Here is a 13,235-nt window from a genome sequence, read left to right on the forward strand (position 1 = left end):
ATTGTGAATGGGAGTTCACTCAAGATTTGGCTCTCTGTTTGTCTGTTATTGGTGTATAAGAATGCCTGTGATTTTTGTACATTGATTTTGTATCCTGAGACTTTGCTGAAGTTGCTTATCAGCTTAAGGAGATTTTGGGCTGAGACAATGGGGTTTTCTAGATATACAATCATGTCATCTGCAAACAGGGACAATTTGATTTCTAATTGAATACCCTTTATTTCCTTCTCCTGCCTAATTGCCCTGGCCAGAACTTCCAACACTATGTTGAATAGGAGTGGTGAGAGAGGGAATCCCTGTCTTATGCCAGTTTTCAAAGGAAATGCTTCCAGTTTTTGCCCATTCAGTATGATATTGGCTGTGAGTTTGTCATAGATAGCTCTTATTATTTTGAAATACGTCCCATCAATACCTAATTTATTGAGAGTTTTTAGCATGAAGGGTTGTTGAATTTTGTCAAAGGCCTTTTCTGCATCTATTGAGATAATCATGTGGTTTTTGTCTTTGGTTCTGTTTATATACTGGATTACATTTATTGATTTGTGTATGTTGAACCAGCCTTGCATCCCAGGGATGAAGCCCACTTGATGATGGTGGATAAGCTTTTTGATGTGCTGCTGGATTCATTTTGCCAGTATTTTATTGAGGATTTTTGCATCAATGTTCATCAAGGATATTTGTCTAAAATTCTCTTTTTTGGTTGTGTCTCTGCCAGGCTTTGGTATCAGGATGATGCTGGCCTCATAAAATGAGTTAGGGAAGATTCCCTCTTTTTCTATTGATTGGAATAGTTTCAGAAGGAATGGTACCAGCTCCTCCTTGTACCTCTGGTAGAATTTGGCTGTGAATCCATGTGGTCCTGGACTCTTTTTGGTTGGTAAACTATTGATTATTGCCACAATTTCAGAGCGTGTTATTGGTCTATTCAGAGATTCAACTTCTTCCTGGTTTAGTCTTGGGAGGGTGTATGTGCCCAGGAATTTATCCATTTCTTCCAGATTTTCTAGTTTATTTGCGTAGAGGTGTTTGTAGTATTCTCTGATGGTAGTTTGTATTTCTGTGGGATTGGTGGTGATATCCCCTTAATCATTTTTTATTGTGTCTATTTGATTCTTCTCTCTTTTCTTCTTTATTCGTCTTGCTAGTGGTCTATTAATTTTGTTGATCCTTTCAAAAAACCAGCTCCTGGATTCCTTAATTTTTTGAAGGTTTTTTTGTGTCTTTATTTCCTTCAGTTCTGCTCTGATTTTAGTTATTTCTTGCCTTCTGCTAGCTTTTGAATGTGTTTGCTCTTGCTTTTCTAGTTCTTTTAATTGTGATGTTAGGGTGTCAATTTTGGGTCTTTCCTGCTTTCTCTTGTGGGCATTTAATGCTACAAATTTCCCTCTACACACTGCTTTCAATGTGTCCCAGAGATTCTGGTATGTTGTGTCTTTGTTCTCGTTGGTTTCAAAGAACATCTTATTTCTGCCTTCATTTCATTATGTACCCAGTAGTCATTCAGGAGCAGGTTGTTCAGTTTCCATGTAGTTGAGCGGTTTTGAGTGAGTTTCTTAATCCTGAGTTCTAGTTTGATTGCACCGTGGTCTGAGAGACAGTTTGTTATAATTTCTGATCTTTTACATTTGCTGAGGAGAGCTTTACTTCCAAGTATGTGGTCAATGTTGGAATAGGTGTGGTGTGGTGCTGAAAAAAATGCATATTCTGTTGATTTGGGGTGGAGAGATCTGTAGCTGTCTATTAGGTCCACTTGGTGCAGAGCTGAGTTCAATTCCTGGGTATCCTTGTTAACTTTCTGTCTCATTGATCTGTCTAATGTTGACAGTGGGGTGTTAAAGTCTCCAATTATTATTGTGTGGGAGTCTAAGTCTCTTTGTAGGTCACTCAGGACTTGCTTTATGAATCTGGGTGCTCCTGTATTGGGTGCATATATATTTAGGATAGTTAGTTCTTCTTGTTGAATTGATCCTTCTACCATTATGTAATGGCCTTCTTTGTCTCTTTTGATCTTTGTTGGTTTAAACTCTGTTTTATCAGAGACTAGGATTGCAACCCCTGCCTTTTTTTGTTTTCCATTTGCTTGGTAGATCTTCCTCCATCCTTTTATTTTGAGCCTATGTGTGTCTCTGCATGTGAGATGGGTTTCCTGAATACAGCACACTGATGGGTCTTGACGCTTTATCCAATTTGCCAGTCTATGTCTTTTAATTGGAGCATTTAGTCCATTTACACTTAAATTTAATATCGTTTTGTGTGAATATGATCCTGCCATTATGATGCTAGCTGGTTATTTTGCTCGTTAATTGATGCAGTTTCTTCCTAGCCTCAATGGTCTTTACAATTTGGCATGATTTTGCAGTGGCTGGTACCGGCTGTTCCTTTCCATGTTTAGTGCTTCCTTCAGGAGCTCTTTTAGGGCAGGCCTGGTGGTGACAAAATCTCTCAGCACTTGCTTGTCTGTAAAGTATTTTATTTCTCCTTCACTTATGAAGCTTAGTTTGGCTGGATATGAAATTCTGCGTTGAAAATTCATTTCTTTAAGAATGTTGAATATTGGCCCCCACTCTCTTCTGGCTTGTAGAGTTTCTGCTGAGAGATCAGCTGTTAGTCTGATCGGCTTCCCTTTGTGGGTAACCTGACCTTTCTCTCTGGCTGCCCTTAACATTTTTTCCTTCATTTCAACTTTGGTGAATCTGACAATTATGTGTCTTGGAGTTGCTCTTCTTGAGGAGTATCTTTGTGGCGTTCTCTGTATTTCCTGAAAGTGAATGTTGGCCTGCCTTGCTAGATTGGGGAAGTTCTCCTGGATAATATCCTGCAGAGTGTTTTCCAACTTGGTTCCATTCTCACCGTCACTTTCAGGTACACCAATCATACGTAGATTTGGTCTTTTCACATAGTCCCATATTTCTTGGAGGCTTTGTTTGTTACTTTTTTTTCTCTAAACTTCCCTTCTTGCTTCATTTTATTCATTTCATCTTCCATCACTGATACCCTTTCTTCCAGTTGATCACATCGGCTCCTGAGGCTTCTGCATTCTTCATGTAGGTCTCGAGCCTTGGTTTTCAGCTCCATCAGCTCCTTTAAGCACTTCACTGTATTGGTTATTCTAGTTATACATTCCTCTAAATTTTTTTCAAAGTTTTTAACTTCTTTGCCTTTGGTTTGAATTTCCTCCTGTAGCTCGGAGTAGCTTGATCGTCTGAAGCCTTCTTCTCTCAACTCGTCAAAGTCACTCTCCATCCAGCTTTGTTCCGTTGCTGGTGAGGAACTGCGTTCCTTTGGAGGAGGAGAGGTGCTCTGCTTTTTAGAGTTTCCAGTTTTTCTGCTCTGTTTTTTCCCCATCTTTGTGATTTTATCTAATTTCGGTCTTTGATGATGGTGATGTACAGATGGGTTTTTGGTGTGTATGTCCTTTCTGTTTGTTAGTTTTCCTTCTAACAGTCAGGACCGTCAGCTGCAGGTCTGTTGGAGTTTGCTAGAGGTCCACTCCAGACCCTGTTTGCCTGGGTACCAGCAGCTGTGGCTGCAGAACAGCGGATTTTCGTGAACCGTGAATGCTGCTGTCCGATTGTTCCTCTGGAAGTTTTGTCTCAGAGGAGTACCCGGCCATGTGAGGTGTCTGCCCCTACTGGGGGGTGCCTCCCAGTTAGGCTGCTCAGGGGTCAGGGGTCAGGGACCCACTTGAGGAGGCTGTCTGCCCATTCTCAGATCTCCAGCTGTGTGCTGGGGGAACCACTGCTCTCTTCAAAGCTGTCAGACAGGGATATTTAAGTCTGCAGCAGTTACTTCTGTCTTTTTGTTTGTCTGCACCCTGCCCCCAGAGATGGAGCCTACAGAAGCAGGCAGGCCTCCTTGAGCTGTGGTGGGCTCCACCCAGTTGGAGCTTCCCGGCTGCTTTGTTTACCTAAGCAAGCCTAGGCAATGGCAGGCACCCCTCCCCCAGCCTCACTGTTGCCTTGCAGTTTGATCTCAGACTGCTGTGCTAGCAATCAGCGAGACTCCGTGGGTGTAGGACCCTCCAAGCCAGGTGTGGGATATAATCTCCTGGTGCACCGTTTTTTAAGCCCATCAGAAAAGCACAGTATTAGGGTGGGAGTGACCCGATTTTCCAGGTGCCCTCTGTCACCCCTTTCTTTGACTAGGAAAGGGAACTCCCTGACCCCTTGTGCTTCCCAAGTGAGGCAATGCCTCGCCCTGCTTCAGCTCGCACACGGTGTGCTGCACCCACTGACCTGCGCCCACTGTCTGGCACTCCTTAGTGAGATGAACCCGGTACCTCAGATGGAAATGCAGAAATCACCCATCTTCTGCATCACTCACGCTGGGAGCTGTAGACCAGAGCTGTTCCTATTTGGCCATCTTGGCTCCACCCCCATTTACACAATTTTAATTTCTATACCTCAGTAAAGCTGGTGGTTAAAAAAAAAAAAATCCACAATGTGTTTTCCTACAGTCAATTTAGACAAGCTGGAACTACATTTCCCAGAATCCCCTGACCTGAATGGTCCTGGGTTAGGGTTGGTCACAAAGAAATTTGCATGAGATCAGGAAGGCAGAAGTGAAGCAGTAGCCACTGGGCTCTGAAGGTCAGTGTAGGGTCAGGCACCACTGCAGCTCACCCATCTGGTAGCTGGTCTGTTGGCACCCATGTTAGTTGTTGCTTGGCCTTGCTCTTCAGCTTCTTTGAGTCCCAGGGCAGAGCACCTGACAGCCTTTCTGTAAGTTACTCACATCTCCAAGATGGTGGAGGTGGAAAAACAGACAAGATTATAGTTTGTCCTACCTCTCCTACAATTTACAGCCAGTTCTTTCTAACTGTCCATGCTGCTGACTTTCAGTGACCAGGCCATGACCAGCAACAGAGGCAACAACCTTCCACAGGCTGCCTTCTCAGCTCCCGTAAGTAAGTACAGCATAATTCCAGTGAGAAACCCTGGATGGCATATGACTCATAGAGGATCTGATAAGCCGTGCCTGGAGTATAGTAAATGCTCACAAAAGGAAACATTGGAATAATTTAAGTGTAGACAGTGAAGAATACTCTCTTTTGGTTCCAGTCCAAGCTCCACCTAAGACAAATTGCTTACTTCTGAAACTCAGTTTCCTCATCTGACAAGTGGTGATACAGGCTGAGTATCCCTTATCCAAAATGCTTGGGACCAGAAGTGTTTGGGATTTCCGATTTTTTTTTCTAATTTTGGAATATTTGCATTAAACTTAGCAGTTAAGCATCCCTAATTAGAAAATTCGAAATCAGAAATGCTCCAATGAGCATTTGCCTTGAGCATTATGTTGGCACTCATAAAATTTCCGATTTTGGAGCACTTTGGATTTCAGATTTTCTGATTAAGGATACTCAGCCTGTAATAATATGATCTACTTCTTAGGATTGTGGAAATGGTTAAATGAGATCAAGCATGCAAACACAGTACTTGACATTACAAGCTTTAGAGAGAAAACCTTTATTTCCCATTCTAATTCTTGAGTTTAGCATTTGGAAATCCATCATCAACAGATACAAGCTTTATCCTTCAAACTACCTTTGTCAGTAATGAAATATTTTCATCCTGTATCTGTTTTATGCTATTTTTCAATTGGCTTAGAACTTAGCCATGAAAGAAGGATGCTGCTTAATAGACCCCTTCAAAGACCACTACTGCTTAACTGTTAGTACTCAATAAATGAGAATAATAACCCTTGCTTTTGTGTTTCATAGAAGTCCTTTCATCAGCATTATCTCATGTCCCCTTGCAATAAGGCTGTGACCCAGACAGCATTAAATAGTGGGGTGCTACAGACACCGCACCACAACTCAAAGGACCTGGTTTTCCAACCTGGCTCTGTCAATAAGCATGGGTCTCTAAGCCACTGTTTCCTCATTTACAAAAGGAAAGAACTGAATCCGTCATAAAAGCCTTAAAGCCCCAGCAGACCACAAGCCTCTTATTATTTTCATTTTGCATTGTGGGAACTATGGGGGGTGGGGAGATGTTCCAAGAGACTGAATGGCTTAATTCAGTAATTTCTTAAGTGTGGTTCCTGGGCCAGCAGCAGCAGCATCACCTGGAACTTATTAGAAATGCAAATTATCGGGAGGCCGAGGCAGGTGGATCACGAGGTCAGGAGATCGAGACCATCCTGACTAACATGGTGAAACCCCATCTCTACTAAAAAATACAAAAAAGTAGCCAAGCATGGTGGTGGGCACCTGTAGTCCCAGCTACTCGGGAGGCTGAGGCAGGAGAATGGCATGAACCCGGGAGGCGGAGCTTGCAGTGAGCCAAGATAGCACCACTGCACTCCAAGCTGGGCGACAGAGTGAGACTCCATCTCAAAAAAAAAAAAAAAGAAATGCAAATTATCAGGTTCCACTTTGTACCCATAGAATCAGAAATTCTAGAGGTAAGACCTAGAGATCAGTGTCTCAACGAGCTTTTCAAGTCATTCCGATGCTTGCTCAATTTTGAGAACCACTGGCTTAATCAACATTGCAACAAAAAGAAAGCAACTGAACCAGGACTTAAACCCAGACCTATGACTCCTTTCTCATTGCCTCATGGTTCTGGAAAGAAAGACCTGGTAAAAACAAATGCATTTGAAGACAAAGCAAGTCCAAAAGCGCAGAACTAAATTCTAAGTAATATGCTAAAAATCTCAGATTTCTTCAACTGAGAACCTTTGATCCTTGACCCTAGACAGGGCCGAAGCTGACTTTTATGCCCTCTCTGACACAGTCATTGGAACTTTTAACTGGAATCTTCCATTTGGCTAGAACAATTGTCAGATGGCAACAAAGGAGTTTGCAAGTTATAGTGCAACAGAGAAAAGGAAGAGCACTGACTTAAAATTCGGCATCTGGCTTTTCAGTTTTATTTCTTTGAACACGTACACATATGTGTTCAAAAATGCATACGCAAGACAAATTTATGTATGCTCTAGGTATCTTTTACTTCCATCTTTTTCTTTTTATCCTTCTTTTCCCTTGATTCCTACCTCTTTTCTTCTTTCCTAGTCCCACTCAGACAATGCATGTTAATCACTGGTATTTGTCCTATATTTTTCTCCATGCTCAAATACTCAAATACAGTTACACACATTCTCTTTCACACAAGTACCTTGTTTTACTCATACTTCATGGAAATTTGTCCACATCAAGAGACATAGTGCAGCTCTCATAAATGCTTCTAAAAAGCTGCATAATACTTCATGACGTGAACCTACAATAATTTATATGTCCAATCCCCAAATAGTAAGTATTCACTTAGTTTTTAATTTTTTACCACCTAAAATGTTGTAATAAGTAACCTGGTATATATATGCTTCTATGGTAGTGATTTTAGTGTATTGGACAGATTTCTGAGGGTAGAATATTAGGTTCAAAGCCTCTATTTTTAAATTAATAGATGTTACATGACTCTTCAAAAGGGCCATGACAATTTATATTTTCAGCACAATGTATAGGAGTACCCATTTCTTGCACCCCTAGATCAGTCTTTTTTATTTTTTTCTTGTCTGAATATTGGGAAGTGATATCTCATTGCTATTTTAATTTGCATTTTCCTAACTACTGTTGAATTTGACTTTCTTTTAATGTGTCTGTTGGACATTTGGACTTGTAGTCCGTGTCCGTGCATGCATTCATGCTCTTTTTCCTTTTGGGTCTTTTGTCCCATTAGTGTCCGTTTTTAAGAAGACTATATAGATTAGAATATTAATTATCTGTCATTCATCAGCATAATAATTATTTTTTGAAAGCTGTCATTTGTCTATTGACTTTGTGCTATTTACTATAGCTATTTGCATGTAGTCAAAAAGCTTAACATCTCACTGATTTGATACATATAACCACCTAAATTTTTTACGAAATTTCTATTATTTTGTTTTTTGGGATTTAAAGGCACTTTACAGTTTTTTTAACTTTTGTGAATGGATCTTTATCTTTCTTTACCTTTTGAAGTGCTTATTGATAAAACCACAAATAGCTACTTATATTTGTATATCCATCCAACTACTTACTAAATTCCCTTACCAATTCTAATGGTTTTGCAATAAGCCTATTAAATTATCTGGGTACATATTATATAGTCAGAAAATGAGAAAATATTATCTTTTTATTTTCTAATATTTTATGTTACTTAATATTCTTTTCTTCTTGCATTTACTAATTGCATTGAAATTGTTCAACATTCCAAGAAAATACTGAACAATAACAATGATGGACAGCACTATCTATTCCTGATTTTAATGGAAAATGTATAATGGCTGCTTATCAAATTATTTTTAAGTCTATTGATAGAAGGATATAGTTCTATAATTTTCTTGCTAAATTTCTTCTATTGAATAACATTTGCATTTCTAGAAGAGAACTCTTCTTGATAATAGAAAGCATTGTTATAGATGTGTCACCATTCCATTTTCTAATATTTTTTAGAATTTTTAAATTTATATTTGTAAGATTGTATACAGTTCTCTTTCTTGTACTATGTTTTTTATCAGGTTTTGGCGTTAAACTTCTACTGTATTCATAAAATGAATTGAAGAACTTTGTTTTTTTCAATGGCCTGGAATTTTTTAAATAATATAAAAAGTACCTGTCCTTAAAAATTTTGAATGAAACTCATCAGTGAAATCTACTATTCTGGTGGCCTTTTCAACAGTTGATTTTTAAAATTATCCTTCCATCTTTGTCTCTGACAATTGGTCTATCAACTTTTTCACCTCTTCGAGAATAAGTTGTATTTAGTTAGAAAATTATCTACCTCCTCTAGGTCAGAGACTAGATAATGTCCTGTTTTCTATAACAGGACAGGTATTTTAAGCTTTGAGGAGCACATAGTCTATGACAACTGTTCAATTCTACCATTGTGATACAAAGACAGCCATAGACAATGTATAAATGAATGGGTGTGGTTGTGTGTCAATAAAACTTTATTTATAGATGCTGATCTCTGAATTTTATATGATTTTCACATATCACAAAATAATATATTTTAATTACTTTTCAACTCTTTAAAATTGTGAAAAACATTCTCAACTTGTGAATCGTACTGAAACATGCAATGGGCCAGATTTGCCCATGGGTCTTTCTTGCAAACCCTCGCTCTAAATTTTCAAAATGTTCCTACATAGTAGATGTATAGTGTATGCTCATAATTCTTAATCTTACAATTTAAAATACAATGCTATTATTTTAATTTCTTCAATATCTGTAACCATGTTACTTTTACTAATTTCTAATCTTTTATTTTTGTTTCTTGTTCCATTTTCCCTAATCAGGCTTATTAGGGATTTATCTGGTTCTTTTCATAGAACCAATCTTTAAATTTAGTCTTTAGCCTTTTTGATTTATATTTAATTTGTCTCAACTTTTATATTTAATTATTTCCTTCTCCCAAGTCATTTGGTTCATGTTATTGGCCTCTTTATCAATGTAAAGATGAGCACCATATTCTTTCTTAACTAATAAAAGTAGTTAAAGCTAAGATTGTTCCTCTAAATACAATTTTCACTTATCTTTATTATGGGTCAAATTGTGTCCCCCAACATGTTTAAGTCCTAATCTCTGGTACCTGTAAATGTAACCTTATTTGGAAATAGTGTCTTTGCAGATGTAATCAAGTTAAGATAAGATCATACTGAGTTAGGGTGGGCCCCTAATCCACCTTAACTGGTGGTGATGACTGGTGTCCTTGTAAGAGAAAAGGTGAAGAGACACAAACACAGATAAAGAGGGAGGATGGCCACATGAAAAAGGGGGTGGAAATTGAAGTTATGCTGTCACAAGCCAAGGAATGCCTGTGTCTACCATAAGCTAGAAGAGATAAAGAGGGATCCTTCCCTAGAGTATTAGGAGGGAGCCTGGCCCTCTCGAGACCCCGATATTAGACTTTTAGACTCTAGAACTGTGAGAGAAGAAATCTCTATTGTTTTAAGCCATCCAGTTTATGGTACTTTGTTACATTAGCCCTGGGAAATGAATATAGAGACCCCTTACAATCGCATATTAAGTCATCTCTGTCTTTTATATTGCCTTCTAAATGAGCCACAATTTCTCCTTTATTTGACCCAATAGTTATCTAAGACTATGCTGCTTAATATTGTAAGATTTGGGGGTATCAACTTTTTATTCTTTTTTTCATACTTTTATTTTAGGTTCAGGGGTACATGTGCAGGTTTGTTATACAGGTAACTTGCATGTCATGGGAGTTTGCAGATTATTTTGTCACCTAGGTAATAAGCATAGTACCCAATAGATAGTTTTTTTGATTCTCACCCTCCTCCCATCCTCCACGCTCAAGTAGGTCCTGGTGTCTGTTTTTCCCTTCTTTGTGTCCAAATGTACCCAATGTTTAGCTCCCACTTATAAATGAGAACGTGCAGTGTTCGGTTTTCTGTTCCTGCGTTAGCTTGCTTAGGATAATTGTCTCCAGCTGCATCCATGTTGCAGCAAAGGAAATGATCTCATTCTTTTTTATGGCTGCATAGTACTCCATGGTGTATATATACCACATTTTCTTTATCCAGTCTACCATTGATGGGCATTTAGGTTGATTCCATGTCTTTGCTATTGTGCATAGTGCTTCAGTGAACACACACATGAATGTGTCTTTATGGTAGAATAATTTCTATTCCTTTGGGTCTATACCCAGTAATGGGATTGCTGGGTTGAATGGTAGCTCTGCTTTTTCTTTGAGAAATCTCCAAACTACTTTCCACAGTGGCTGAACTAATTTACATTCCTGCCAGCCATCCTCTTTTCTCTGCAGCCTTCCCAGCATCTGTTCTTTTTTTACTTTTTGAATAATAGCCATTGTGACTGGTGTAAGATGCCATCTCATTGTGGTTTTCATCTGCATTTATTCTTTTTCAGTATATTAAACCACTATTTAAAAAGGTGGACTATAAAATCTCAGCATGTTTGATTTGTAAATTTTTTTGCCTTCAAATTTATGATGATTTTTGTAAATATAACACAAAAATATACACATATAATTACTTGTATACATAAATCTACCGTGTTAATAAATGTTTATGTTCTTAAGTAACTTTTTTTTTTTTTTTTTTTTTGAGACAGAGTCTCGCCCTGTCGCCCAGGCTGGAGTGCAGTAGCGCAATCTGGGCTCACTGCAAGCTCCGCCTCCCGGGTTCACGCCATTCTCCTGCCTCAGCCTCTGTAGTAGCTGGGACTACAGGCACCCGCCCCCACGCCCGGCTAATTTTTTTTGGATTTTTAGTAGAGACGGGGTTTCACAGTGTTAGCGCGGATGGTCTTGATCTCCTCACCTCGTGATCCACCTGCCTCGGCCTCCCAAAGTGCTGAGATTACAGGCGTGACCGCACCCGGCCTTAAGTAACTTTTATCTAACATACCTATATAATTCTGAAAGAGAAGTACTGAAGTCTTCCACTGTCATTGTATGTTTAGCAAATTTTCCTGACATTTCTTAGCATTTCTTCTTTATATATGCAGTGCCTTTGGTTTGATATATATAAAAATTTATAACGTATATTTTCTTTACAAATCACATATTTTTTTCATGACATAGAGCATCTATTCTTCTCATATTGGGTTTCATGGCTGTATCCTCTAAACCTTTTATATTTTTCCTCTGTTTTTCATTTCTTTACATTTTTACTCAGTCTTTGAGAAATACCTTCGAATTGCTCTTTCAGGCCAGTAATTTGTCTTCACAGTGGTCATCTTTGCCCTTATTTATCTACGAATGTGGGAAGTGGTTTTTTAGCTCCAGAAAGTTCTCTCAAGCTGTACTTGGGTCTCTTTAAGTGCACTTCTTATTTTTCTGTCCACGTTGTCATCTGTCACCTTCAAAAGCTCCGTCTGTAGCTGTGTTCTGTGTGCTCTGCTGGACCTTGCTGTCTCTGCTTCAGTCTTAACTCTTACTTTTCTTGATCACTGAGATCAGGTGTTGTTGTTGGAATATCCTACCAGGTAGCAGTCTACAAGTGAAGAAAGACAAATTAGTCCTCTTCAGGAAGCATCTTTGTTCCTCAAGGGATGACTAAAGTCATATTTTTGGCTACTCCTTGGCGTCTCAGGTATCATGGAGACCTTTTACTCACACACAGAAGACCATCAAACTTCTTTTCAGAGTCCATAAACCTCTTTGGGCCAAACTCTTCCCAGCATCCCCATTTTACAATCCCTTTCTCAAGGCTCTCTGGTATCCAGACATTCATCCACCCACAGCTCAGAAAGCACTGCACCAGTTCTGTCCCGTAAGACTTCCACAGAGCCCACAACTTCATTTCCACTTAGCAACATTTAGGTCCCAACTAATCATCTCAAAAAGAAGATATATTGGAGTTGATTGATACTGAATGGAAAACAGAGTTAGGTTCATGTCACCATCTTTCCAGAACCCCCCTGTAACATCAGCATCGTCATCTACCCTCACATCCAAGTCACCCTGTTTCCTCCACCACAAGTCAGCACATCCCACTGAAAAGATCATCAGCTCAGAGTCAGGGATCCATATTCAAATCTTCCTCTTATGAGTATAAACTTATGCATGCTATGTAATCAGCATTTCTGACCCTCAATTCCTCATTGATGAAATGATACTAATTGTGGAGAGTAAATAAAATATGTAAAACCTTTTCCCAGTGTGTAGCACATGACAGATTTTAGAGAAATATTAGTGTCTTTCCATTTAATTTGATTTTCAAGCAGTAATGGTTGGCCAGTGTGTCCCCCTCTTGGTTTGACATTTCAGCAACAACTGTTCTCGGTAACAATTCTCTATACTTGTTCTTATGCAATCCATCATCTTGAAGTATCTAGGTTAATGGTCAATGTTTCGGGCATCTTGGTGTCCCAACACCTTCCTGAGGGGAGCGACCATGCTTCACAGATTATGAAAACCACATGTTGCAAAGAGGGAATCACCATCGACCCTGGGCATACAGTTAGAGGCCAAACTGGATGGGAATGTTCAGAAATCAGTTATGACAATAAAGCTAAAGGCATTACGAACATAATTATCCTTTTAAAGTTATCATGTAATTGAATCTCTAATTTTGCTTAAATGTAGATTAATTCGTTCCACCAAGATCTCCAAGAAAAAACTATATCCCCAGAGCTCTGCAGGAAAAGCCAAAGGAATTCTTAATTGCAACAAATTATATAAAGAGATTTTACCTTATGAAAGGGGAAAATGTATGGCAAGCCTTTGTAAAATAATTAAAGTGAAAGATATCAAAAACCTCTCAAT

General features: G+C 38.9%; 1 long non-coding RNA gene across 1 annotated transcript in view, besides 1 other annotated feature; it reads right to left on the reverse strand.

Annotated features, from left to right (window-relative positions):
* The window catches only part of LOC124902662 (uncharacterized), a 46,307-nt gene that overhangs the window by 21,613 nt on the left and 11,459 nt on the right, over nt 1–13,235 (reverse strand). The gene's annotated exons all lie outside the window — the stretch shown is intronic.
* Nucleotides 3,476–3,976: an enhancer, noted in NCBI's record as "H3K4me1 hESC enhancer chr11:43121800-43122300 (GRCh37/hg19 assembly coordinates)". NCBI's record gives its function as "activates a minimal SCP1, AML or CMV promoter by ChIP-STARR-seq in naive H9 embryonic stem cells {active_cell/tissue: H9 hESC(naive)}" and the evidence as "EXISTENCE:reporter gene assay evidence [ECO:0000049][PMID:30033119]".

Source organism: Homo sapiens, chromosome 11 (assembly GCF_000001405.40).
Source record: "Homo sapiens chromosome 11, GRCh38.p14 Primary Assembly".
Taxonomy (NCBI): Eukaryota; Metazoa; Chordata; class Mammalia; order Primates; family Hominidae; genus Homo; species Homo sapiens.